Source organism: Homo sapiens, chromosome 8, assembly GCF_000001405.40.
Source record: "Homo sapiens chromosome 8, GRCh38.p14 Primary Assembly".
Taxonomy (NCBI): Eukaryota; Metazoa; Chordata; class Mammalia; order Primates; family Hominidae; genus Homo; species Homo sapiens.
In genome coordinates, this window is record NC_000008.11 from 133,232,603 (window position 1) to 133,260,564 (window position 27,962).

The following is a 27,962-nucleotide window of genomic DNA, read 5'->3' on the forward strand; positions in this document are numbered from 1 at the left end:
ACACAGCACACAGCATATGCTGAGCTGTATGAACAGATGTGCAGATGGCTGGGGCACATTAAGTGAATGCCTCTTTTGATACCTCTTGGCCAAATCCCTCTCATCTACTTGCCCCCAGAACACATGATGAGAGTATAAAGAGTCAAGGGGAGGCTCCATTCCAATAAAAATATAATTGTCACACGAATTCTTTCTAGGAACACCTCTATCCTGAAGCATATTGGTTTCAAAATTGGAACTTAGATCGTGGAGTCCTGTGGGTGCCTCAGATTAAGATGAATGTATAGATGTTAGGGCAATGTTTTAGGACGTCAGGCGGCTGAATTGGGGGGGGGAAATGGGATTTAGGGGAAACGGCCAGAGCATTTTATTATGAAGCATTTTATTTTCAAAAGCATATTGCAGAGATGCCAGTGTTCTCCATCACCCCTACTGACAAAATCGGAATTCAAAGGCATCCTCTGTATTCAGAGAGCCAATTTCTAGTTGAATCTGGGTTCTTTCTAAATGTAGGACTGAGCAAAAATGGCTTCTGAGGAGACAAACAAGCTGTCACAAAGCCCGTGCACTGTTTCATATGTTTTATTCTGTAACGAATGTCTCCAGATCTCCAGCCTAAACCTCACTGCTCTTGATTTTCGCACAACCCCAACCATGTAGATTTCTTAGTCCATTCCATAAAAAGGGAGAGGAAGCTGCCCGAAGCAGGCTTATTGATAGCAGAGGCCAGCCTGGCAGCAGAGGAGGAGGTGGAAAAATTAAAAACCAGATGAAAGATATAAAAGCAGGTCACCCAAGTCAGAGTGGGACTATCTAATAACAGAGGGACAAACACCCGCCGCAGTCAATAACAACCTTACGGGCATCCACAGTCTTAGTTAGTCCCAGGAACTTACTGATGCTCCAGAATCCCAAGACATCAATAGGTGGTGGCATGAGTCACGTGCTCAGTGAACTGCTTCAAAAGACAACAAGACAACAAGGGATTTAATCCATTTTAGAAATGGCTGGGCAAGCGATTTAATCTCTCCGAGCCTGGGTTTTCTCATCTATGAAGCAAGGACAAGTCCTCACAAATAAATAATAAAAACGGGGAAGAATCTATAAAGCACACTAAATATTATTAAAGGAAGTGTGCATCTGTTAATTTAACAAAAGTCTCCTGTTATGTGCCTTGCTCTATGCTGGCCCTGTCAATACAGAAGAAATCCCACCCGCCTGGCCAACATGGCAAAACCCCGTCTCTACTAAAAATACAAAAAGTTAGCCAGGCATGGTGGCACGCCTGTAGTCCCAGCTACTTGGGAGGCTAAGGTAGGAGAATCGCTTGAATCCGGGAAGCAGACGTTGTGGGGAGCCGAGATCACGCCACTACACTCCAGCCTGGGTGACAGAGCAAGACTCCATCTAAAAAAAAAAAAACAAAAAGAAGAAGAAGAAGAAAAAATCCCTAGTTTGCGAGAGAAAGGACACCCACAGTGACATGTGTTACAAATGCTAGATGTCCCATCTCTGCAGGGTGGCGCCTGCCTCGTGGGGCAGGCTGGGCATTCAGCAGACACTTCTCAAAGCAGGGATGAGAAAGGGCATGTTCTGCCACAGTGAGCTTGGCTGTCAATGGGCTCAATCATGCAACAGATACACTCAATTCACCACCACAACTACATCAATTACTCAGACACCTGCAGCATGTATGTGGGGGGAAGGGGGCAGGAGTAACATGAGCCCAGTCACAGTTGATTAGACAGGGAGTGGCACCTGAGTAGAGCTGGACCGATGAGATTCTTCCCCTTAAGAGACAGAAACACCTGATTAGTTTGGGGTTCAAGAACCAAAAGGTCAGGTAGCCCTTGGGTTAGGGCCACCATTTTATGCTTCAGAGTTACACAAAAATCAGATCTTAGAAAGGAGGAGGCTAACTCCTCCCCAGTCCTGTCTCCCACCCCATAAGGCCAAGCCTCACCTTCTGCTCTTGGATTCCATGTGGGACGCTAGCGAAGGGTTTCCATGCAGCCTGTGAAGCCCAATATAAATACGTAAGCCGATGGATTTAGGCCAGATCTAGGGGTCAACCTAATGACTCTCTTAGGGAAACTATGGAAAGGGCCAAGGACAGACCCTGCACATGCTAATCTCAGCACGCATTTGGCCTCCCAGATGCTGCTGAAACCCAAGAGTCAGGAGATTTGAAACCAAAACAAGCAGCTAGGAGACCAGAATCAGATCCCCAGCTGGCCAAACAGCCTTTGGGCATGTAGCTCTAAATAGCACTGATACATGTGAACACCTGCAACAGTTCCTTCCTCGAGGAAGCCAGACCACAGCAAGTCTCTGTGCCACACTGACTCCTCAAAGCTGGCACAGCCCCCCTGCTGTGATGCTTCCTCGCCAGTTCCTTCACCACCCGCTTTATCTTAGTTCCCGACTCACACAGGACACAAAGTAGGAAAGGCACTTCTTATGTTTGTTGAATAATCACAAGCCAACATGCTCCTCCCTCCCTCCTGACCTCGTGATCCACCTGCCTCGGCCTCCCAAAGTGCTGGGATTACAGGCGTGAGCCACCGCACCCGGCTGTATGGTTCTTACATGTATGGATTGCGGTCTCATGTCTCCCTAAAATGTATACAACCAAACTGTGCCCCGATCACCTTGGGCACAGGTCGTCAGGACCTCCTGAGGCTGTCACAGGCGCCTGTCCTCAGCCTTGGCAAAATAAACTTTCTAAATTAACAGAGACCTGTCTCAAATTTTGGGGGTTCACACTTCCAAAGAATGAATATGGAAAAGTGGAAAGGGTAACCTGACGATAGAGAAATCTGGCAAACACTACCCCAGCCACGCCATCACCATTAATCCCATCAGTGATAAACCACAGTGATAGCGTGTGGCCTGGATATGATGTGAGAAGCAGGACAAATCACCTCTGTGGGTTTCCCCGAAAAACCCACAGCCCCAAGTTGTACTGTGAGAAAAACTACTTACAAACCTCAGTGGGGAGACTTGTGACAGAATGTCTGACTAGTGCTTCTCAACGCTGTTGAAGAAAAGGGAAAATCTGGCCGGTCGCGGTGGCTCACACCTGTAATCCAAGCACTTTGGGAGGCCAAGGCGGGTGGATTACCTGAGCTCAGAAGTTGGAGACCAGCCTGGACAACACAGTGAAAACCCGTCTCTACTAAAATACAAAAAAATTAGCTGGGCGTGGCAGCCTGCGCCTGTAATCCCAGTTACTTGGGAGGGTGAGGTAGGAGAATTGCTTGAACCTGGGAGGCAGAGGTTGCAGTGAGCCGAGATCACACCACTGCACTCCGGCCTGGGCGACAGAGCAAGACTCCATCTCAAGTAAAAATAAATAAATAAATAAATAAATAAAATAAAATCTGAGAAACTGTTACAAACCAGAGGAAGCTGAGACATGATGACAAAATGTAATGGGGTGTCCCAGATGGGATCCTGGACAGAGAGAGGACATTAGGGGAACCCCAGTGAATTCTCAATATGGTCCAGGGCTTAGTTAACAGCAACGTCCAACTGATCTCCCGGTTGTGACAAGTATGCAGTAACGTCAGATATTAGTGACAGGGGTCACTAAGTACAGGCTATATGGCAACTCTCTGTATTGTTTGCAACTGTCTGTATATTTTAAACTAATCTTAGTTTAAATAAGAGGTTACACTAAAATCTCTTTTTTTTAATGTAGAGTAGAAAACAAGCATTACAATGGTTGTCACTGGGCATGAGAAAAGGAATGATCTTTCCACATACATTTGTTTGTAATCCAAACAAAATGTAGCCTGGGTACGGTGACTCATGCCTGTAATCCCAGCACTCTGGGAGGCCTAGGTGGACGGATCACTTGAGGTCAGGAGTTCGAGACCAGCCTGGCCATGGCAAAAACCCCATCTCTACTAAAAATAAAAATAAAAATAAATTATCTGGGCATGGTGGCGCATGCCTGTAATCCCAGCTACTCAGCAGGCTAAGGCACGAGAACTGCTTGAACCTGGGAGGCGGAGGTTGCAATTAGCGAAGATTGTGCCACTGCACTTGAGCCTGGGTGACAAAGTGAGACTACGTTTCAAAAAATAAAAATAAATATTAAAAATAAAAAAGCTGTTTTCCTCGAATTATAGGTTGGAAAGTTTTTTATCCTCATCATTGTGCTGCCCAAGCTACTGGGCAATTGAAATGCAGCTGGTCTGAATGCATTGCGAGTGTGAAACACACTAGAGTTCCTAGAATGAAAAAAGAATGCAAAATACCTGGTCAATAGTTTTTATAGAAGTGGTAATATTTTAGACGTCTTGAGATAAATGAAATGTATTATTAAAATTAATTTCATCTGTTTCTTTCCACTTTTGAAAATGTGGCCACTGGGAAATTAGAATTAACATATGAGCTGACTTAAATTTCTGCTGGACGTGATGCTCCGAGGAAAGAATTCCAGAGATGAGGGGCTGGGGTCCCCTAGGTGTCAAGGACGGGCAACCCCCCAGTGAAACAGCCATCCCTGCACTGCAATGTTTCACACACACAATCTCTCAGGGACAGAAAAAAGACACAAGCCGCTGCAAAGTTACAAATTTATTGGTCTGGAAATAAATACAAATATCTCATTAAGAAACTCCTCTGGAAAGACTTGTGCACAATAGTTTCCCATCCGTACTCAGCCTCTCTTGCCCCGATCCCCGACTTTTCTACTCAAGGCCAGGGAAGGCCTCCAAGGTGATGGGCGGCAGGTAACGAGTCATTGCCTCTCACGCCACCTGGAAGGCTGGACTACTTCCTCCTCCCAACTGCGGGGTCCCAGAAATCCTCGGGTCCCAGTGGCTGACTTACAATATTCAATTCACTCTGACCAAACTTCCTATGAGAAAATCCACGGTGAGCCAAAATGAAAAGTACAAGGCAGTAGTACAGGAACCTGGCAGCCGCACTGGCCGCCCAGAAACGTCAGTGGTGCTGCCCCATTCGGCGAAAGGTTAGGGAGCAGGAAAAGAGGAAGCAGGAGAGGGAAGGAAAGTCCCATGGAATATGTATTCCAGAATCCTTACATTTTCTCAGCCACCGCTCCCCACGTGAGTTCCCACCCCCACCCCGACAAGAGCAAAGAGTTCTGAGGATCCAAGAACGTGACCGGGTCAGACAGGTTCAGCTACTGAGTTCACGTTCCAGCCCAGCTGTCGAAGATTGAAAACTGGATTTAAGCCAATCACACAAAATTCCTGGAACCAAGCTGGGATCCACAGAAATCACAACTGCACTGGATCTCAACACAACAACAAGGAATCCCTTACATCGAGTAACCCCAATTCCACCCCCACCCCAGTGCTCCTACTCCGGCCCCTGCAAGGACACTCATCACAGCCAGGGCAGCTGTGGAATGTTGCCCTCCATTCTAAGGAATGCAAAACAAATCTAAATGATCTTCTCCCTGAACAAGAATAATCACTGGCTCATGTATCAGGGGTGGGAGGTTGGGGCTGTGGAGGAGAGGCAGAAAGCAGAACTAAAGCCTTCAAAAACCATGATGCCCAACGTTTGCTGAAATATTTTTGTCTGTAAAGCCAGGAGATTTTGTCGCCTGCTTTTGCTGCACATTAAGAGGATGCTAGAAAAATCAAGCTTGTTTGCTTCTGCATTCAAAGCTTTCTAGATGCACCAACTTTAAAAATCGGTTTCTTCAAGTTAACTACGTAGATTTGTTGTTCCAAATGCCTCTAGCCTCGACATGAATCCCACCTTTTCCCCCTTCCTGTTTTGCCTGTTTAAAAGAGGTGCCTGCATGTCACTATTACCCCCCTCCCCAAATGAGAAAAGGATTTTGTTTCCGGAAACTGGATCAGCTTCTCCTCAGTTAAAGAGGAAACGGGAAGTGGGCGGCTGGCCTTCTGACCAGGCACCCGTTTGAACCAGGATGCTCAGGGCGGCCTAGGCTTGGCTTTGTGAAGTGTGTGCTGCTACGCGTCTTGTTTTTGGCAGTTTGGTGTCTCTGAGGGAGGGGAGGAGAGTGGCAACCGGCCACTGGTTAATGGAAGAGGATGCGATGCGGAGATGCTTGCTTCCTTCCTTTGGTCCACCGCCACCCCGCCTTTGGAGAGGGCACCCACGTAATAGACCTCATTTGTCTCCACCAGAGCTCACTCTTACAAAATAAGCTTTGGATTAATACCGAGTTAGGCGCAGTATGGCAGGCAGGGGGCGAAAAGGGGCCGGGGAGGAGGGGGCCACTACAGAGATCAGAGTCCGGGGGCGGCAGCTGGGCAGGCCGCCTAGCAGGAGACCTCCATGGACTTGGGCCCGGCGCTGTTCCCAGCAGCACCCGAGTTGGGGGTGATGTCCAGGTGGGCCCCCTCGCTGGTGTGCGAGCGGCTGCGGGTGCCCTCGCTGGTGTGGGAGCGGCTTCGGGTGCCCTCGCTGGTGTGGGAGCGGCTGCGGGTGCCATCCAGAGAAGTGACGCTGGAACCAGAGGCTGTGCGGGACCGCATCAGGCGGGTCATGCTAGCCGAGGGCACTAGGGGAACAAGAGACAGCCGGTTAGAGGGCAGGAGACTGCCAGGTGAGGAGCCAGGCATGCCCGTCCACCAGCCACATGCTCTTCTACGTGCCAGCCCCAGAGAAGACTTGATCCCTGCAGCCATCCAGCTGCTGGGCCCCCGTCCTCTCCATGTCCACTCGGAGAGAGAGATGGCAAGGCCCAGATGCGGGAAGGAACTGCCGCAATCACACCATGAGTGACTTGAACCCAGATCTGGGTCTGAACCCCAATTCTGCCACCTGTTAAAAGCTGTGTAATTTTGAGAGTGTCCCCCTGAGCCTCCCTGTTCCCATCTGTAAAGCAAGTATGTTAAATACTGACCCCTGGTATCAGCACCTGTGTGTACGCCCATGACCCCATGCTGTCCATGATCACTGGAGCAGGGAGGACACCTGGGGTCAGTGGCCCTGCACATCACAGGTGGGGAAAGGGAGAGGGGCCACACGGCAAGTTCCCGGCATGGCTATTCGTTGTCATCTCTCCCAAAGAAGCCTGTCAGCCCAGGTGCTAACAAGGGCGCTGTCTATTCTTTGGGATCTTCTCTGAGACCTCAAATGCTCTTGCACATGGCACGTGCAAGTGGCACATGCTGATGGGGTAGCACGTGCTGATGGGGTGGAATGAGGAGGAACAATCCTGCCCACCTGTACCGGGTGGGACAGTGTCCCGGAAGATTCACACCTACCTGAAACTTCAGAAGGGAACCTTATTTGGAAATAGGGTCTTTGCATATGTAATTAGTTAAGGATCTTGAGATGAAATCATCCTGGGTTGAGAGGGAACCCTAAACCCAATGACTGTGATGTCCTTATAGAAACAGCACACAGGGATATGCAGGGGAGAAGTCCACGCAAAGACAGAGGCTGAGATTGGAGTGATGCAGCCACAAGCCACATAAAGCCAAGGATTGCTGGGGCCACCAGAAGCCAGGAAGAGGCATGGAAGGTTCTTCCACAGCAGCGTTGGAGGGAGCAAGGCCCTGCCCACACCTTGATTTTGGACTTTAGGCCTCCTGAACTTTGAGAGAATGGATTTCTATTGTTTTCAGCCACCCAGTTTGTGGAGATTTGTTACGGCAGCTTTAGGAAACTAGTACTCCACCCAACTGAAGCATCATGGCTAGGAGGCCACACTGAGTCAGACATCAGAAACAGGGGCAGTTGATCCACACCAAGCATGCAGGGCTTATGTTATCTCCTTGATAGGCACAGGGAGGGGCTTTTGATGTCAGGCACTCCCAAACAGAATTAATCCTTGCTGAATTGTCTTAAAGAGCTAGTTTTGAATTCAGAAAGAATTGGGGTCAATGCCACATCCGCAGCTCACATATTTCTCTGAGCCCCTACTTCTCACCCACAAATCTGGGATGTCTACTGAGCAGGATGAGAAGCGTACAGTGAGCACTGATGCCAGGTGTGCAAAGGGTTCATCAAGCCAGCACCCCGTGGTGTGCAGAAGGCCAGTGACCGGTTCCTTTCCTTCTCTTTGGCTGATGCCTTTGAGACCATAGCTCTTCCTGTTATTTTCCCCCCAAGACCTGCAGGAGGCTTCAGCTTTCTGGTAATAGAAGCCGATTTGGGGAGAAAGATGAGGTCTAGCATTCACTTCCTTTCTCTCCAGAACACACTCTCAAAGCAGAAATCCAAACCCTGGCGGGACCAAGACAAATGGGAGCCACAATTCACACCGTGCAGGGTAAAGCAGGACTGCCCCGCGGCTGTCTCCATGGCTGTCTCCAATGACAACCTTTGCCTGCAACTTCCGTCGGGGAAAGCAGGCTAGAAAGGCAGGAGCCCCACTAGCAGATAGCTTCTGTTGGAAGAGGGCACCTGGGGATGTGGATCCTGCCTGAGCCTGAGGCATGGAAATCAAACCTGCCAGCCTCGCCTTGCTAGAGCTAATCATGGCTAAGGCCAATGCTAGGACTGCAGTCAGCTTACCAAGCATACTCTTACTATACATGGGCAAACAGTTTAAGGAAATGATAAAAGGGATCAGAAGTTCAATAACTTCCTAGTAAGGGAGGACACACGAATTATAGTTCCAAGCAGTAGGGTCAGAAGAGCCACTAGTCATGTCAGGGCCGGACCATGGCTGACAGGCCCACAGCACTGAGTGTGGCTGCTGTTCAGCCGAGTTACAACTCGCCAGGGTCTGTCCTAGTCCTGGGACAGCACTTCTGGAAAAAAGGCTGTATGTGTCTAACAAACTATAACTGCAAAATAAGAACGAGTGAGTTCCTGAATGATGCTTCCAATGTATCCTCCACTTCCCAAAGCTCATGACTTGACTATGGCATGCTCCACCTTGAATGTAAGCAACTTTGTTAGCCACTTCCACAGAGCTTCACAGTCTTCAAAGAATTTCCACAGATCCGCCCTCTGCTCCCTGCTTACAACCCCGAAGCCTCAGCTTCATCACTGATAAGATGGGCTAAGAATATGTCAAAGGAGTACTGTGATGGTTCAGTGAGATAAAATAATGTGTTAGTAATCTTTCATCATCATCGACACCATCTTCATCATCACTGTAGCTAGTGGTCTCTTAAAACTTGTGATCAAAATTTTTAAAAATGTTATTGTTTCACTGTTGGTCATTGTCTTGGTGCTTAAAGGGACAGTCCTCATCTAAACCCCCCAAAATCCCTGGTGTGAAACAACTTCTATTCAACAAAGGAGGAAAAATGAGCCTCACTGATAAATGAGAGGCTAGATCCTCCAGGCTGCCACATGCCCTCCACACACCTAACTGTTTCCTCCCAGAAAGCTGAAGCTGGCCAGGGGGACACAGAATTGCTCATCCAAACCTGGCTCAGGACAGAGCACTTCCAATTCCGACACATGCCCCGACCCACTGCACACGGGGAATGCCATACTCACTGTATCCCATGCCCTGCACGAAGTACTTGAAGGCCTCAGCGAGCTTGGCCGGCTGCGAGAGACAAGGAGAGAAAATGCAGTCAGTTGCTGGGGAGCCAGATCACCCGAGGCCATGGGGGGCTGTGCCTGTGGTCACCTTCATTTGAGAGTTTGGCTCAAGACAAAAGCCATCACGTGTTGACAGGACAAAACACAAAAGTAAGAGTATGGGACAATGATGGGAAATTCACCCCACAGCTGTGGAACTTGGACAAGTTACATGACCTGTCTGAGCCAGTTTCCTCACCTGTAATACAGGGCAGAGTATCACAGCTATTTCTGTGTGTTTCTGAGGAGATTACCATCCACAAAGGGACATGTCTAACCCAGCAAGTGGAACATAACTGCATCGGCATCATGAGCCACTCCCAATGCAAGGGGCTTTGCTGCGTTCATTCATTTACTCCTGACAACCCCTCACGAGGTCAGTGCTACCTTAGATACATTTCATAGCTGAACAGATTTGGACAGGTAAATCCACTCAGGGTCCCACAACAAGTAAGTGGTGGGTCCTGTACATTAACCCAGGGCTCTCCAAACCTAAAACACTTGTTCTTGAGGCAAATCACTGTCAGCCTCAATAGCAGGCTGGCTGAAAGAAGGGATGATGGATAGATGGATGGGTGGAAAGAAAAGGATGGATGGAAAGAAGGAAGGAAAAAAGAAAGAAAGGAAGAGAAGGAAGGAAGGAAGGAAAGATGGATTAAAAAAAGAATTGATGGACAAAAGGAAGAAAAAAAGAGAAATATGAACAAAAGAAGGACAAATAAAAGGAAGAAAGGATATGAAGAAGAATGAATGGATGATGGTTGGATGGTTCGTTGGATGGGTAAACAAACCAATTAATTAACAACTAACTGGGCTACTTTAAGTGAAATGCGTATGGAATGCTGAGACCACATCCAGTTCTACCAGTTCTCTCAGTTCATTTAATGTAAACTTGGAGGTGAATGCTCAAATATCAAGGGCATACGTGCAAGGCGTATCTGTTCTTCAGTTAATCCCAACTGTTCTATCCAGTGCCCTGGGTCCTATTCTCCTGAGGCAGTGAGAGGGCACTGGTAGAGGCTGGGCTGACCCCCCTCCCTGCTCTCCACTAACTCCTGCCAGGATTCCACAAAGAGCCAAATGACATTTAAAAGAGCGGCTATGCTCAAATTGCCCTCTGGAATTTGTGTGACAGTGGAAGAAAGAGACAAGAGAAGCAGGTCAGGGCTGCAGGGAACAGGGACGCCTGTGTTCGAGATGGTGGAGAGAACCAAGAATACACGCTTGGGAATGAGAACACTTGGGCCCAATTTTAGCTCCAGTAATCATGGGCAATCTCTCTCAACTTTTGGCCTCAGTTTCCTCTTCTGTGACACTGGGATAAAATGCTTGCTCTTCCCACCTCTGAGGACTATTGCAAGGACCTAATTTAATCAAGGATGGGAAAACCCTGTGTAAACATACACCCAACCTGCAACGGCATGAGGACGACAGTGTCACACAGGAATTGCTCCCCCCTGTGCTGGTGTCCTCGAAGCCTGTGCTCGTTGCACTCCTCTGAAGCTCTGAAAATTCTTTTAATTATGACCAGGGTTACATCTGTTCTCATTTTAAGTAGAGAAAGAAAAAAAGGAGGAAGAAAGGAGGCAGGGCAGGTTTTGGATAAAAAAGATGACAAAAAACTCTATTTCATTTTAAGATGGAACACAAAACTGTCAGGATATAAAATTATAAGACAACAAATTAAAAGTTTACTTGTTAGGTTGGTGAGATTCTTTATAGGAGGGGAAATTGAAGGGATCAGTTACGTAGCAAACACATTACGTTGATCAATGTGTTTATTTGTACATGTGCACACACATTTACACATGCACACAGACATGTGTACACATGCACACACACAGACGTGTACACATGCACACACAGAAACATGCATGCACACACACACAATTTGGCTTAATCTCCTCCATGTCCCTCTGCTCTGGGCTGGAGCTCCTTGCGGCCCTTCACTCCAGCAGAAGCCCGTGGTCTTTGGGGCAGACATACCCAGATTCTGACCCATGATGACCAAGGTGTGTCTACTTGGCAAATCCCCCAACCTCTGTGAACCGCAGTATCACCTACTCCACAGGGGTTGGTTCCTAGGGAATCAGAGTCCTCCTATATAGCACCTTTTCCCAACAGTCCACAAACTGTCATCCGATGTCACAGCAAGGTAATGAGGGAACAGGTGTCACAGAGGCACATGCACTCCACCCAGGGGGAAGCGACAGCTGTATAATGCAAAAGCCAACATGGCACTCACCTGGGAGATCTGCGGGAGGCCGCCACAGTCCGCCATCTAGGAGAGAGGGAAGCTCGTTAGTGCCAAACACCACAGCCAAGGCCCTCTGCGCTCTATGAATTTTTTCCGAAAGGATGCCCATCCGCCCGCTGCCCTGCCCTGCCTTGTCCTGCCTTACAAAGGAGGAACAGGGTGGACCGTGGGTAGGGAACACTCCAGCCCCACCAGGCAAGGCTGCTGGTGTCTCCGTGGCAACCATCACTTGCAGCTTGCTACGTGCCAGGCACTATGCTAGGCCCTACAGATAATTTCACTCCATTCCCCAAGAACCATGGAAGGTACAGCTGTCCCATTTTACAGGCAGAAACTGGGCCAGGAAGAGCTTGAGGGACTCGCAAGGTTCCAGGCCAGGATCTCTCTGACCCGAAAGGGTTTGATAAACAAGACCCTCTTCATATATTCCCTTGAAAGTTTCCCTCAAAAGGAAGTGGTTGAATTTGGGTCTTCAGGCCGGATTCAGCTGACCAGTACCCTTCCTAAATGGTGGACGTTCAAAGTCCCTGTGAAATCACCGAACCGCAAGAGGCCATTGCAGGCTGTGAGACTGTGCAGCCAGCCTGGAAATGGGCAGCGCTGACGGCAAGGGAGCAGGGGGAGGCTGCGGGGAGGGTGGCCTGGGGTGAAACGGGGCTGGAGGAGTTCATGGGAGTGGTGAGGCTGTGGGCATCCTACAGCCCAGGGCGCCTCAAGTCTGGACCCCCAACACTAGCCACAAAGCGACACTGACCTGGGGCAGCCCTCAGCTCAACCAGCACGCAGGGAGCAGGATGCCCGAATTTTTCCTCCAGGCGGGGCACTCAGCACATTAGACTGACGCTGTGGAAGTCTCCAGAATCAGGCCTAAGTGAGTTCTGTTTCTGGATCTACCATCAAATCGGCCACCCCACCTCAGTCAGGCCACCTACCCTTTGCTGTAGGTTGTGGTTGAATTGTGTCCCCAAAATAGACATACTGAAGTCCTAACCCCAGTACCTATCACTGTGGCTATACTTGGAAATAGGGTCTTTGCAGGTAAAATCAAGTTAAGATGAGGTCATATTGGATTAGAGCGGGCCCTAAAGCTAACGGCTGATGTTATTAAAAGAAGAAGGAAATTTGGACATAGACGCAGAGATACAATCGGGAGAGTGCTGAGTGAGGATGGAGGCAGAGACTGGAGTGATGTGTCTACTAGCTAAGGTGAACCAAGTGTGGCCAGCAGCCACCAGAAGCTGGAAGAGGCAGGCAGCATTCTCCCCTAGCACCTTCAGAGGGAGCACGGCCCTGCCCACACCTTGATTTCGGACTTTTAGCTTCCAGAACTAAAAGGGAATAAATATCTGTTGCTTTAAGCCACCCATTTTGTGATACTTGTGACAACCGCCCTCAAAGTACGGCATTATGCAAGCTTGACGCCCAGCAGCTTCTAATCTTGCAATTTCCTTTTGAGGGAATCTTGAAAGAAAATCTATGTAAAGAGCCCAATACAGGAAAACAGCCTCCCACTCAATAAGTATCGGACACCCCCTACATGCCTTTCAAAGGCATTCTACTTCTATGGGGGAAGTTGAGGGCACGGTGACCTACAGATGCCACCTCTTTGTCCTTCCCCCAGTGCGAGGGAGCCGCCTCATCTCCACCCAGGTCCCGCCTGGTCATCTGCCCCTGCAGGGGTGCACCCCGGCTGAGAGGCCCCTCTGAAAGGTTCCCACTCTTGGGCTGCATCTCCGGACGAGGCCGCCACAAACAGCCAGTGGTTTGCATTGTGCAATCAGTCATAACTGGCAAAGGACTGGCGGAGGTTGCTACAGACACTCAAATCCAGCTGCGAGTGAGCTGGCTCACCATGTGCTCAGATGAACTTGCTGGACAAAGTCCTGACCTTCCCCGGCTGTGGGACACGTCTCTTCTTATTGTGACAAGCAGAGAGCCCCTCTTGGAGGAATGTCCTGGCCCCAGCCTATGGAGGGCCCTTGCCAAGCCATCCCTGGTCCCTCTATCCCCAAAGCCCCCAGACCAGCAGCCTATTGATTCCTGCAGTCCCAGAGAAGGATCCCTCATCTTTGCAGCCTCAGATCACCAGTCAGCACCCAATATATGTTCATAAACAGATAGATTAAATCATTAATTCTATAGTTTCTGATCGTGTGCCTTGCCTTTTTCAAGCCTAACTCAATGTTGCAGAAAACGTCTGAGAGTTTCTAAGAAATAACAAACACGAACCCCCACTGTTTTCCCTGTACCTTGAGGAGAGTGGTCTTTGTTGGGTCCAATTTTGAGTTGCACTCCACCTGCACAAGAGGGAGGAAATCTGTTAATTTTCTACGTGAAGCCAAAGCCAAAACATCTCCCCCTTCTCCGCCACTCTGCCACCGTCACCAGAAACTCCAGTATTTCTGCTGGCAAAGAAGAAAGTATGTGGAGTTATTGGGATTCAGCAGATGTGGCTTGAAATCCCAGCCTTGCCATTACCAGCTGTGACAACTTGGATAAGTGATTTAACTTCTTTGGGCCTCAGTTTCCTCATCAATAAAATGGAGCTAATATCTTTTTTCAAAAGGTTATTATGAAGATTAGCCGAAATGTAAACAGTACTGTAGAAATACCTGCTAAATAAATATCCTTGTTTAACCAGCAGCTGCCAGAGATTCTACAGGTTTAATATTCCCAGATCTAACAACTATTCTTCATGTAAAATCACACTGGTTTCTCTCTTCATTTTGTCAGTGAACCTCTTGAAAGGGGCATCTGGAATTGGGCAGAATACCCATATGTAACCCAGGATGTTCAAAATGCTTAAAGTAAAACTATCACCTCCCTTGATTTGAACAGTGTATCTCTATTGATGTATCCCATGATTATCTCCAGTCAGTCAGCCCGTAAGAAACTCATGGTTCACTAAGGCATGCCAGGTATTTACTACATGAACATTTGCAAATGTCACTCTGCAGATCACTGCACAAAGCATGGCAGTACTGCAGGACTCTGATCCATAGCCCCTAAGTCTTCCATCTCCCCAGCTGTGGGGTTGTTTGAAAGGCAGATTCCTCTCTTTGCTGCCACAAAGTTGCAGGTGGGAGTTAAGGGGTGAAAGGAGTCAGGAAGCTTTGCTAAGCCCTGCCTCCCAGTGCCTCTCTCCCCTGCCAGCTCATCAGGCACCAGTCAGTTTGGAAAGATCCAGCTGCTTCCCAAATAAGAGGTGAGTCTCTTGGCCAGGAAGCCAAGTGGCAAACATGCCCATATAAACAAGCCGATGGGACACAGACTGGCGGGTGAGGGGACCTGGGAGAGGAGACACTGCCAAGCAACCAGGGCTGGCAGCCACCAGGGAAAGAGACTGAGTGGCTGGGCCCTCTGCCCAAAGGCCAATATGGCATTTCAAAAAACATCACCTGCCCTGATGGGGCAGAGGAGAGGAGGGGCAGGCAGGGCCACTTCAACAAAGTCAACCAGACTTTGCCTGTTGAATTAAACACAGAAATCAGCTGTGATTTCTACATACCACGGCATCCACTGCAGGCGAGCTGTCCCCAACCACCAACAGAGCAGGGCACCTGGGGTCAGGGATAGAGCAGAGAATTAGCACAAGGTTCCTTTAAAGATTGTCCCACTCCCAGGCCTGCCAGGCTGGGGCCTGCATTCTACAAACAATGTCATTTTGGTTTCCCCAACACCCTTTGCTCTTTTACTTCATTCTCCTTTGATCTTAGGATAACATTGGTTACTAGTCATTCACAACTTAGTATGAATTTCAGCCAGGGAATTTCTGTGACTCAGTGCTTTTGTTTTAAAGCATCTTCTCCTCAAGGATGGTTAAGCAGGACTTAGCTGGCAATCAAGACCGAAACAAGAACAGCATGAAGGACAAAGGCAATGACGTGCCAGGTTCCCAAGTGTCACACAACGCGGTGCACTCAGCCACAAAAAGACACCATCATTACTGGTGGAAACCCAGTTAGTTCTGTCCATGACTGTCTTTTCCTCCTAGGTGTATGGAGCACTTTAAGGCTGGGTCCTGTGCTATCCATCCCTAGGCTTCATGGAGCAAAGCCTCACACAGTTATTGATGTAGTAGGTGCTTAATAAATGCTGTCCCAAGTACAATCAACCATCCTTCTCCAAGATCAAAGGCCTAGGTCATGGGGACACCCTAGAAACGGATGCCACCGGCACAGGGAGAAGTCCAAGTCAGGCTGGGTAATGCTCAGTCTCTGGGTGGAATATATCCAGGTCTCACTGACACAATGTCCTGCCACACTCAGAAAGAAGGCCCTGCCAGCAAGGCCACCTTTATAGTGGGCAGCCCCGACTGCAAGTGCTGGGGGAGAGAAAAGCCACTCACTGCAGGGTGACTGTGTGGGTTCCCGGCATTGGTCGCTCAATCTCCAGGTCGCGCCGGCTGCAGGAAACAAATGCATCATTAGCATGAGGACCCCTCCCCTGGAGAAATCTCCCACTCCCATCCAGCCAAGCCCAGGAGGTCCTGCCAGTGGCCATTCTGGTAAGCTACCCACATCCCCAACTTGAGAGAGGCCCTGTGGCTTTCAGGACTCCACACCCTCTTGGTGTCCACAGACCTGGTTAGAGGGACAGCACAACACATGCATTTCAAGCAGAGCCCCCTCATTTTGTCACAAATATTTGTGGGGCTTTTTTTTCCAGGAGTAGAAGTCAGATTCTCCACCATAGAGGGTCCCCGCCTTCCCTGTCCCCCTAGTCAGAGCCCCCACCTGACAGAGGGGCCACCTCCCAAATGCTCTCGCAGCCTCTTAGTTTAAGTCCCAGCCTCACCAACTCTGAGTCCTCTATAAAGCACCCAAATGATCTCTTTAAAACTCAGGCCTCATCTTTCCATTCCCTGTCTCAAACCCTGTGGTGGTTTCCCACTGCACTCGTGTGAGGCCCAGTGTGGGTCCAGCCCAGTGCCGACCACCTTTCCTGCACGCAGCCACCCACCCTCTCTGCTATCTTGCAGCTCCCAACATGAGAAGCTCTTTCCCAGCTCACAGCCTGGAGTTAGACAAGCAGGATCCAAATCATGCTCTGCCACTTTCTAGCTGTGTGGCCTTGGGGAGAACACAGGATCTCTTTGCGCCTTTGCTTCCTCAACAGGAAATGACAGTAATTCCAGGACCTTCACAGTGGGATTTGGAGAGGGGTCAGTTAATTACGGTGCTATCTACACGGGCAAGTTAACAGTGTGGAGTCTGCGGGCTGTGCTGGTTTCCTCTGTGTCTCCAGCGCCCAGCCGAATGCCTGACTCGCTCCAGTTCTCAGAAAGTGTTTACTAAGTGAACCGCACTGCCAGGTTTCGGTTTCTTCAGTCACATCCACAGTGAGGATGTTACCACTGAGATGAGGGCAGGATTGTAAAAGGAGGCAGATACTAAGCTCTGTTACAAATGTTAATTTCAAGAAGTCACTTTATTAACATTTGAGCAGAGATAAACACTATGAGGCTCATTTCTATCTCCTGTTCTGCGAGCGTGGCAGAGCGAGCTCAGCAGGTTGAGCGAGCTCCCTGGAAGATTACAGAGTCTCTGGCTGACACCAATGGCCCTGAGCTGTCTCCTCCCCTAGCTGAGCTCCAGATAAGCACCTAGTGCTGGTTGAGAGGGCCACGCCTTAGGCAAAGGCCATGTTCAGGTCCTCCTTATCCTTGGAATGACAAACTCCCAGAAGCCTGCCTGGATTATCCCCGGCCTCCAGGAGTGCTTTGCTGCTCTCTCACTTAGCTCTTCTTACATTTGGCCTTTCGTGAAGGTCAGCAGCGGGCACACATATTTACTCTCAACCCTCTGAGTGTGCGACTGCGTCCCTCTCACGTCTGCACCCCCAGTGGTCTGGAGTGTTTGTTCAGATCCCTGCAAGGCGAGCTGAATGCCAGGAACCAGCTTACAGGCCAGGTGTCCTTCCTGGGGACACCTGTCCTATTAATCTATTTGCTCAAACTCAGAGCCTGCCTCTTCCGCTCATTTTATACTCTCCCTCTCATCTGTCCCACATTTCGGATCTACAGAAGACACCTCATAAATAGCAATGATGTGGCTGAACTACATCCCAATACCTGTTGTAGGCATTGATGAACAGGTGCAGGTTGCCGGGGTTCATGTCATTCACAATGTGCTGGCGGTAGGTGTGGACCACTTCCACGTTACTCTGCATTTCTTCCTGCATTTAGAGAGGTGAGAAGATGGTCCTCATCGCACTGTGGCCCTGAGCTGGTCACTACTCTCTCCATTCTCCAGGTTATTTGGAGACAAAGTAAAGATAATAATGCCTAATCCACAAGACAGCGACGGACCTAAAAAAAAAACCTTTGGGAAAGCAACACGCCCAACCAGGTGCAGACAGGGGTTTCACTATCCGCTGGGAGCAGAAAAGACCCCCATCCTGGAAAGGCCACACCCCACCCTTCCAAACTCATTACTTTGGGAGTTTCAATTTGAAGTCAGACATCCTGGATCTAGAGCTTAGCTTCATCACTGTCCCTTTCGTAGGCAAATCTTTCAACCTCTCTGAGCCTCAGATCTCTTAAAAAAAAAAAAAAAAAAAAGGGAAGAGAGAGAATGTTGCCTACTTCACTAGGTTGTAGGACTTAATGGAGGTTGTGTTCTCACCTCTACTAACAGTAAAAATTGGAGGCAAATGTTAGTAATTGTTTTCCAATGGGAAGAGCTGAAAAGAAGTTTTTCATGCTTGAAAAGCAAAATCAACTCATGCCACAGGAAGTTACTGAAAAGAAGGGCAATTGCAACTCCCACCACGGCCAACCAGAGCCTTGGGGAAGTCGGCCTCAGCCTCCCCGTCTCTGGGTGCTTTTTGAATGTTATTTGCGACAAACAACTTGTTTGCTCTGTTTCTCATTTGTACGAGGGCAGACACTGTAGGTTTCACACAAGGGTCTGATATGACCAGTGGCAACCAGATGAGAAGTTGGAGTTGGGGGTCAAAGAAAGCCGGTGTCAAGCTTGAGCTGCATCAAACAGTCCAGGATCATTTAGGCAGCAAGGAGGTCAACTGGCTACTAAGAGCAAACTCTGGAAAAAATAGTCAGGAATCACGCTGGGATTTCAGATCAAAACCAACTATAGCGATCTGGGGGTACCCTCAGACACCATGGCCGGACCAACCAGTCTCCAAATAACTTGGGGTATAATCAGATCAGATGCTCAACGCTATGTCTGACATCCCTCCTCCAGTGAAACAGAGACAGTGGCTGTGAATTTTTCCCAATTCCTATCAGTTTCAGATTACACACTCAGGACAGGGAAAATGTGTCACACGCTGTGGAATGAATCGTAAAAGGGGAAAGAGGACTCTAGTGGGCTAAACTGTGGCCCTCAAAAGATATGTCCATGTCAAATCTCTTGAACTTGGGAATGCAAACTTGCTGGGAAAAAGGGTTTTTGCAGGTGTAATTAATTAAGGATCTTGAGATGAGATAATCCTGGATTACATGAGCCGGGATGAAATCCAATGGAAAGTATCCTTAAAAGAGGAAGGAGAGGGAGAAATAAAACAGACACAGAGGAGAAGACCATGTGAAGACAGAGGCAGAGAGTGGTGTGAGCAGCCACTAGCCAAGGAATGCCGACAGCGACCTGGAGCAGTAAGAAGCAAGGACGAATTTCCCCTGGAGCCTGTGGCGGAGGGGCGGCCCTGCCAGCGCTTGACATCGGAGTTCTAGACTCAGAGCTGTGAGAGAATACACTTTTGTTTTCCTTTTTCTCTGTTTTTGAGACAGAGTCTCCCTCTGTCTCACCCAGGCTGCAGTGCATGGCGCGATCTCGGCTCACTGCAGCCTCTGCCTCCCAGGTTCAAGTGATTCTCCTGTCTCAGCCTCCCGAGTAGCTGGGATTACAGGCGCGTGCCACCACATCCGGTTAATTTTGTATTTTCAGTAGAGACGGGGTTTCACCATGTTGGCCAGGCTCGTCTCGAACTCCTGACCTCAGGTGATCCACTCGCCTAAGCCTCCCAAAGTGCTGGGATTATAGGTGTGAGCCACCCTGCTCATCCCACTTTCGCTGTTCTAAGCCATCCTGTTTGTGGTAATTTGTTACAGAAGCCACAGGAAACCAACACAACAGGCAAACCTAGCAGTTGTACTCGCCAACTCCAGAGTGGAGCCTCTGTTCCCCTGGTACACTCGCCAACTCCAGAGTGGGGTCTCTGTTCCCCTGGTACACTCGCCAACTCCGGAGTGGGGCCTCTGTTTCCCTCGTACACTCGCCAACTCCGGAGTGGGGCCTCTGTTTCCCTCGTACACTCGCCAACTCCAGAGTGGGGCCTCTGTTCCCCTGGTACACTTGCCAACTCCAGAGTGGGGCCTCTATTCCCCTCGTACACTCGCCAGCTCCAGAGTGGGGCCTCTGTTTCCCTCGTACACTCACCAGCTCCAGAGTGGAGGCTCTATTCCCCTCGTACACTCGCCAACTCCAGAGTGGGGACTCTATTCCCCTCGTACACTCGCCAACTCCAGAGTGGGGCCTCTATTGCCCTCGTACACTCGTCAACTCCAGAGTGGGGCCTCTATTCCCCTGGTACACTCGTCAACTCCAGAGTGGGGCGTCTGTTCCCCTGGTGTACTCGCCAGCTCCAGAGTGGAGGCTGTGTCCCCAGGACTCATGGGAGTGTCAGATGGTCACACATGTTAGCTCAGAAGCAGACAGTGGTATGTAAGCAAAGCAGGTCACTGCAATTTCAGGCAACCAAGGGGTTTTCCAGACCCTGGGCTTGCAACCAAGCCCATGGCATACCCTTCCCGAGGGTAGCTGGCCCCAGCTAGAGACACAAAACCAGTGTCTGGGGCCAGGCAGGCTGGGCTGATAAGATGACTGCTCACTTCTAGCATGCTGTGAGGGGCTTGGCTCAATCCCCTTTAGTGGGGTAACTCTGCAGAAGAGCAGCTCATCTCAGAGCCAGGCAGCAGCACAGGCAGCCGCCATCCTGCTGTGGTGACCAGAATGAAGCCAGATTCATAGGTTCTAATACCGGCCCCACCTCTCCCTGGTTGAGACCCTATGCAAGTCACTCAACCTCTCTGGTCTGTTTCCTCTTCCATAAACTGGGAATGAGAACAGAATTTATCACACAGGTCACAGAGCACCTGGGTGGAATCCTATTCCTATAGTTAACACTTGTGAAGCTCTTAGGACTGAGCCCAGCCCAGCACACAGCTAACTCCACGGACATGTTTGCTACTGACCAGATTTATAACAGCCCAGAACTGGGAACAACTCAAAGGTCTTATCAACAGGTGAATGGAAAAACAAACTGTTGCACATACATAAAATGGAATACTTCTCAGCACTAAAAAGGAATAAACTTTTTTTTAAGAGACAGGGTCTCTCTGTCACCTAGGCGGAATACAGTGGGCTATCCCAGCTCACTGCTCACTGTAGCCTCAAACTCCTGGGCTCAAGCAATCCTCCTGCCTCAGCCTCCCAAGTAGCTAGGACTATAGGCATGCAGAACCACCATGCCTGGCCAATTTTTAATTTTTCTGTAGAGACAAGGTGTCACTATGTTGCCCAGGCTGGTCTTGAACTCCTGGGCTCAAGCAATCCTCCTGCCATGGCCTCCCAAAGTGCTGGGATTATAGGAATGAGCACTGCACCCCGACTAGGAATAAACTATTGATCCACTCATTAACATGGACAAATCTCAAAATGGTTATGCTGAGGGAAAGAAGCCAGACCAAAAAAAAAAAAAAAAGAGTACCTACTATATAATGCCATTTATATAAAATTCTAGGAATTGCAAAGCAATCTATAGAGGCCAATGCTGATCAGAAGTTGCCTGAGGAGGAGGGAGAGGAGGACTATCAAGGGGCACAAGGAAACTCTTGGAGTGATGGAGACGTTATTCTCCTGATTACAGGGATGGTTTTACAAATGTATATGCATGTCAATTGTACACTTTAAATATGTGCAGTTAATTGTACTTCAATCAGCTGTTTTTAAAAGACACATAAAAAAGAGAGAGAATGAATGACTTGTTGCTTATGAATGAATAATGTCACATTATCTCATGAGCACCAGCTCGGTGGCCCCCAGTTGATTGTGTCTTGTTCTCTCCACCCCCACATGGGGCCCTGTGCTGAGCACCACACAATGCCTTGCTCAGCAGGAACAACAGATTTGCCAGACCACGCAACTCACCTTCCCAAAAAGGTGGGACACCACCATGTCCGGCAGAGCTTGGGTCCATCCTGAGATCTGGAAAGGAGTAAAGTGGGTGGATGAGAAACCAGGAGCTAACAGTAGTTAACAAGGTCAGCAAAACCCCACTTCCCTGGGTGCAGGGTGGCATTGCTGGACTCCCCCCTACATGCAGGCCTCAAGGACATCCCCCTTGATAGAAACTCAGTTCCTGTCTCCAGTTCCCTCCTGGACCTGATCCCCCAAATGCAGGGCCTGGGACTATATCCAGTTCCTTATTTTCAGAGGCCCATGCACAAGATGCACAGCAAATAAGTGCTGAATAAAGACCCAGCTACTGCTAGCTTACCCTGCTCCAAACATTCACCAAGTCCTCAGCAAAGAGGGCCATCCATTCACCTCTTCTAAAAACACACTGAGCTCCCCAGTCTATACCCCAAGATATGCTTGGCTCCCAACTATCCCTCCTCTCTCATCTCCAAGCCAGTTTCCCCTTTCTAAGTATACTGATATTACCAAAGACACTGACAATCTTCTTTTCCTACCTCTCCCCAGTGACTAGGTTTGCAGCAGGAGCTCTATAAGTCCTAGTATACAGCAGAAGCTCCATAAATGTGTGCTGACCTAAGCATTAGGCAAAAATGAGTAGGAGAGAAGCTCTAGACCTAAGGGTCTTTGGCTGGCCCTTGCCTGCCACAGCCTAGCTGTGTGGCACTGGGCAGTCTGCATACCTCTGGGTCTCAGACTTCTAATCTGGAACTGGGAGTGCCAGGAACTTCAAGGCCACAAGGTCAAGGGAAGGACTGCAAGAAGTAACTGCACACATCACAGTATCTAATACCAATGCCTGGTAATCGAAAGGCTGGAGTTGAAAAAGAAGGGAATAGTACAGCTATTAAAGCTGTACTGAAGGGAATAGTACAGCTATTAAAGACAATCCTCAGGCTTCACATTAGCCAGTGGTCGACATCCCCAGACCTTCGAGTCTCACTCAGGACAGCTATCATGAAGCCCAGCGGGTTGACTGGAATGTCACTTCCTTTGCTGGAAAATCAAATAAAAAACAGGGAGTGTGTTCCACTCCAGAACGTCATACAGGCTGGACGGAAGGGCTCCTGCATTCTGGAGGAATGTTCAAAGAACAAATGCAAAATCACAGTGGCTGGTACAGGGCAGGGGATGGGGCAAGAGGCAGGGCCCCTTCAAACCATCGGTCCCTGGCAGCCACCCAAAATTGGGCAAAAATGCACTTGCAGAATGAGAAGCTGCGATCACCTCAGCTTGAAAGACTCTGTCCTATTTCAACTGGAATGACCTCCCCCTCTCCTTGGCCAACACTGAGGCCTTTACAGGGAAAAAAACAAAAACAAAAACACCACAATGATAATTTTTAAAAGATAAACAAGGAACCTTAGGACACCAGCCAGGACAGAGCTTCCCAAGACAGCACAGGTCCCTTCTCCTCCAGGCAGCCTACCCTGCTTGCCAGGCCTGCCTGTCTCCCACCCTGGACAGGAGCCCCAGGGGCACGGGTGGTCAGGTCCACGAACCACAAAGTCAAAGCAAGCTGCATCCAGTCCCCGTTCTACTGCCTAGCTTTATGTGACCCTGGACAATCCCCTTAGCCACACCGAGTCCTTACCTCTGAAACGGTGATAAAAATTCTCACCTCCTAGAGTTACTATGAAGATTAACTGAGATCATGCACACACAGCAACGTAGAATGAAACTAGCACATGGTAAACTCTCAATCTACGTTAGCTAATTATTATCGTAAAATTCTGTGGCACAGTCCGTACTAAATACATATTTATTTTTCTTTAATAATATGTGAATGGATTCCTAAGATTCATTCCTAGAGGCTTTTGTCTTGTTCATCTCAAGAAGTCTTGTTCTTCAAGATGCTCAGCATCTTGACCAAAGCCTGGCACAAGTTATGTACCCAGCTAATACTCATTAATCCAAGCAATGCTTCTCCAAGCTGCCTCAGGGACCTGTGTCCCAGTGCTTTCCCTGGCTTAGACAGCTTGGTGGTATTTAAGTCTTCTGAATGGCAAACGGCTGAGGTCATGTGTACTGTTCTAAGTAAAGCAGAGGGAACTGGAGTGGGCAGTAGAGGGTAGTGGAGGAGTGGGTAAAGAGAGAGCTCGTAGCTCCAGGGATCCCCCAGGCAGAGGCTGTGTGCACCTGTCCCTCTTCTTGCAGGGATCCCGCCGGCCTGACAGGCCCCCACCTCACCTTGGAGGCGGCCCAGTCCATCCAGCCTTCCGCACAAGGGTTCACGTTGATAAGGACAAGGCCCTCCACCATCTCAGGGTTGTTTAGCTGCAATTCAAGACACAAAGTGAGACAGACATCCCAGCAATCTGAAACACTAGGAACTTTCCAAGGCAAACCAAAGCTTGAGAGAAGTACCCAGAAAAAGGCAGTGTGGGCAGCAGAGCAGGCTGCTGCTCCCCGGCCCCACCCCATGCAAAACTGAGGTTCCAGCACAGCAGACACGGTATCGGGTCCTAGAGAGAGTGGGAAGGAGAAAGAGGAAGTGCAGGAGAAGTAGGAAGCCCGCTGCTTTGCAGGCCTGCCTTGGGCAAGTCACTTCAACCCACGGAGGCTCAGCTTCTCCAGCTATCAAATGGGTGTAACACACCATCGACCTCATCAATCAAACAAGGCGCACAGCACAAATGCTCTCTAGTTGTGGCAGTAACAACTGTATTACTTACTTCCAGGATAAACACATGCATACACACACACACACACACACACACACACACACACAGAGAGAGAGACAGAGTTATGCATCGCTGAATAACAGGGATACTTTCTGAGAAAATTCATCATTAGGAGATTTTGTCATTGTGTGAAGATCTCAGAGTATACTTACACACACCTAGACAGTATAGTCTACAACTCACCAAGGCTGTATAGAACAGCCCTTTGCTCCTAGGTTTGCTGTACAAACCTGTACAGCATATGACGCTACCCAATACTGCAGGGAATTGCAACACAATGCTAAGTATTGATGTATCTAAGCAAATCTAAACATAAAAATGGTACAGTAAAAATGAACCATTATAATCTTATGGAACCACTGTCAAATGTGCAGTCTGTCATTGACCAAAATGTCATTATGTGATGCAGATACATACAGATATAGATATGTACACCTGGGGTACAGTTGAGACCATTTTTAATTTGCTGAGAGCCTATATGGCCAGACCATTTTGTATTCATGTCAGCATTCCTTTCTTTTTTTTGTAAGATGGATGTTGTAGAATCATGTCAGTATTCCCAACCTCCAGCAAAGCCCAGCAAATAATAGGTAGTCAAAATACCAATGGATGTACAAAATGAGTATTGTTGCATTCTTACACAATTGCTCGGTGAGGATACAAAGGAACAGTGGCTCTTGACCTGAGCCCAGAGAAATAACAATGACAACTGTCATGAAAACTTCCCGTGTCTGATTCTAGTTTAGAATCAGTTATGACCCAGGAGTGCCCTGACTACAAAAACCTGTACAGCTGTTACAAAGCAGTGTCATAGCAGAGTACTCAGTGAGTGAGGAGCGTCCTCACTAGATGGCTAAGCGGACAAAGCCCATGACAAAGGAATGTGTCCAGTATCATCCTTGAGTGGAGGAAGAGAAAAGGCTGTGAGTATATATATATACGAGTACCCATGCACCACACACACACACACACACAACTGTGGAGAATACGGGTCATTTCTTTTTCCCTTTTGGGTTTTTGATGCTTTTCCAATGTCTTCCTTCATCTTAAAATGTTATTTAAAATGCGATTTTCAAAAAATGCCAAAGCACTCACAGCAAATCGAGTTAGGATGTAGGCGCCTGCTCCTGTTCCCATGCCAATAATGCTTTTCAGCCTGGAAGCAAAAATACAAATGCATGTCACACAAGGACAGAGTGACGGGAGCCTCCAAGGACCCACTTAGAACTTCCTGAGGGTGACCGCCTGGCTAGGCAATGCGGGAGCATGCTGCCGTAACTGCCTGCACAGCTCTGAGGTCACCATGCTTTAGGACTGGACAGAGACCTCGACCTTGGAGAGCCGCGCCCCTTCTCCTCACTTCCCTCCTGGCCGCCACCCAGGCTCTGAGAGACCGTCTGACATTTACGGGAAGGCCCGTTACGGCATCATTTCTTCCCACTCTTAAGCTTTATTTTGGATTCTAAAACTTGGAATGAAAACAAATTGAGCAAGAACCATGAAGTTATCATTCTTTGAAGAGCTCAAGACAGAGAGGAACACTGGAAAAATGAGGGTGTGGAGAGAAAAGCTAAGGACTCAGGCAACTCCATTCCAGAACATTCCATGGGAAAGAGAAGGGAATGGAAGAACAGGAGGCAAGAGCAAATGGGTGGGGCAGCTGCCATCATGCAATATAACATTCACGCAAGAGGAAAACTGAAGTTAGAGGAGACAGACTAGAGCTCAGAGACTGTGTGAAGAACAGTGTTCACAGAGTGACGAGCTAATTTCTTGCCTCATCTCTAAATTGCAACCTTAATTTTAGTGGTCAGTCCAGATCAAAGCCAAGGGGCAGGAAGATGCTAGAAACCAGGCTTCTCTGCAGACAGAGAAGGAGCTGATCCTTCGCTCTTACCCAAACTGTTGAAGGACTCCAGGAAGCATTTCAGCCAGCTGATCCATGGAGGGGTACATGTACCTGGGGATGACACAGAGAAGCCATTAGTGAGCGCCCGGACAGAAACGGGTAATCCAAACAGGGACACGCTTGAAGGGTGGGGACCATGCAGCAGCCTGCCCCATGCACCCAGACCCCCCCACCCCCAAGTCTAGTCCCTTCGCATCCTCCTTCCAAGACCCCTGCAGCACACTCTATCAATTGCTTCCTACGCTCCAGGTCCCATGGACACATTCTGGGAATTAGCTCATTCAATTTTCACAATAACTCTAGGAGGCTGCTAGGATTTCCCCTCATAGCAAGATTATAAACATCACTGAGGCTGAGAGATGAGACACTTGGCCTCACAAGAGCAGTAGATGGTTAGCCAGAAACATGTCCTCACTGTGTTTGTCTGGTTTTGGGTCTAGGGTGTTGCAGAAACTGACTAGAAGGCATTTCACAATTCCAATGTCAGGGAGAAGGAATTAAAACAGGCATGAATGAGTTCCATCCGCAAAGCAGTGATTGATCCTCACACATGCCGGGCTCTTGGTGAGGCAATGGCAGGGGTCTGTGAGCAAAGCAGATGCAAACCAGGACAGGAGCCAGCCCTCGAGTCAACAGAAACAGGGGGTGTTACTCATAACAAAGCCTATCGAAACAGAGACCTGCCGTGCTCAGATGATCAGGGAGGGCTTCTTGGAAGAAGTGACGCTGAAGGGGTCATGGGAACCTGATGAGTAAAGCGTGTGGGCAGGGAAGCAGTGTATGCGGACGCCCTGGGAAGAGCCAGAAAGAGCCCGTATGGTGTGGCTCCACATCAACAGAGCCACTGAGCTGAGAAGCCGCAGGGCAGAAGTGCGGCAAAGACATGAAGCTCCTCTGAAATGGCCATGGCTCAATTTGGAGCCAGCAGCTCCTAAGGTGTGACACTGGAGAAGCCACTTAATTGCAGGGCCCTCTGTTTCTTCCCTGTTCCCCAGGGCTGGTGTGAGGCGAGGAAGCAGCAGAATTCTACTTCCAAGGTCCCTCCTGTGTAGGTGGTGGACACCGGGGCCAGGAGGAGCCCAGCCAGGGATCCCCTACCCTGCTCTGCTGTCTCGGCTTCAGAATACAGGGGGCTCACCCTTAAAGGGCCTGGGAGATGCTCCCTCACCCCTCCCAAGCCCCACACTCTCCTCTGCCCTACTCCAGGAGGAAGAAACAAGTCAGGTCCCACTCTGACAGTGGGTCCCACCAGATGCACACGAAAACCACATAGTAAACTAGGGGGAAAATGCGCTGTAATACCCAGACCAACGGAATAAAAATTCCTGGGGGTGGGGCTCAGGCCTCAGAATATTTGTAAAACTTCACCAGGGGGAACTAAGAGT

At 49.0% G+C, this 27,962-nt stretch overlaps 1 protein-coding gene across 8 annotated transcripts in view, besides 4 other annotated features; it reads right to left on the reverse strand.

The window, feature by feature from the left end:
- Nucleotides 2,411-2,480: an enhancer, noted in NCBI's record as "active region_27993". NCBI's record gives its function as "activates an Ori minimal core promoter by ATAC-STARR-seq in GM12878 lymphoblastoid cells {active_cell/tissue: GM12878}" and the evidence as "EXISTENCE:reporter gene assay evidence [ECO:0000049][PMID:35858748]".
- Nucleotides 4,573-27,962, reverse strand: part of NDRG1 (N-myc downstream regulated 1) — a 60,078-nt gene continuing 36,688 nt past the window's right edge. For 7 of the 8 annotated variants that reach the window (NM_001258432.2, NM_001374847.1, NM_001258433.2 and 4 more), the window contains 11 exons: nucleotides 26,566-26,628; nucleotides 25,764-25,824; nucleotides 24,175-24,261; nucleotides 21,937-21,993; nucleotides 17,838-17,941; nucleotides 16,113-16,169; nucleotides 15,273-15,324; nucleotides 14,014-14,061; nucleotides 11,753-11,788; nucleotides 9,421-9,472; nucleotides 4,573-6,517 (listed from right to left, as the gene is read on the reverse strand). In NM_001258432.2, the coding sequence (NP_001245361.1) occupies nucleotides 6,276-6,517; nucleotides 9,421-9,472; nucleotides 11,753-11,788; nucleotides 14,014-14,061; nucleotides 15,273-15,324; nucleotides 16,113-16,169; nucleotides 17,838-17,941; nucleotides 21,937-21,993; nucleotides 24,175-24,261; nucleotides 25,764-25,824; nucleotides 26,566-26,628 (859 nt within the window). In that variant the 3' untranslated portion in view covers nucleotides 4,573-6,275. Of the gene's footprint in view, nucleotides 6,518-9,420; nucleotides 9,473-11,752; nucleotides 11,789-14,013; nucleotides 14,062-15,272; nucleotides 15,325-16,112; nucleotides 16,170-17,837; nucleotides 17,942-21,936; nucleotides 21,994-24,123; nucleotides 24,262-25,763; nucleotides 25,825-26,565; nucleotides 26,629-27,962 lie in introns of all 8 variants that reach the window. The other variant, NM_001374844.1, reaches the window with a different exon arrangement.
- Nucleotides 15,024-16,223: an enhancer, noted in NCBI's record as "CDK7 strongly-dependent group 2 enhancer chr8:134259869-134261068 (GRCh37/hg19 assembly coordinates)". NCBI's record gives its function as "activates an origin of replication core promoter dependent on BRD2, BRD4, P300/CBP, MED14 and CDK7 cofactors, with strong dependence on CDK7, by STARR-seq in HCT116 cells {active_cell/tissue: HCT116}" and the evidence as "EXISTENCE:reporter gene assay evidence [ECO:0000049][PMID:35650434]".
- Nucleotides 24,345-24,434: a silencer, noted in NCBI's record as "silent region_19561". NCBI's record gives its function as "represses an Ori minimal core promoter by ATAC-STARR-seq in GM12878 lymphoblastoid cells {active_cell/tissue: GM12878}" and the evidence as "EXISTENCE:reporter gene assay evidence [ECO:0000049][PMID:35858748]".
- Nucleotides 27,444-27,943: an enhancer, noted in NCBI's record as "H3K4me1 hESC enhancer chr8:134272289-134272788 (GRCh37/hg19 assembly coordinates)". NCBI's record gives its function as "activates a minimal SCP1, AML or CMV promoter by ChIP-STARR-seq in primed H9 embryonic stem cells {active_cell/tissue: H9 hESC(primed)}" and the evidence as "EXISTENCE:reporter gene assay evidence [ECO:0000049][PMID:30033119]".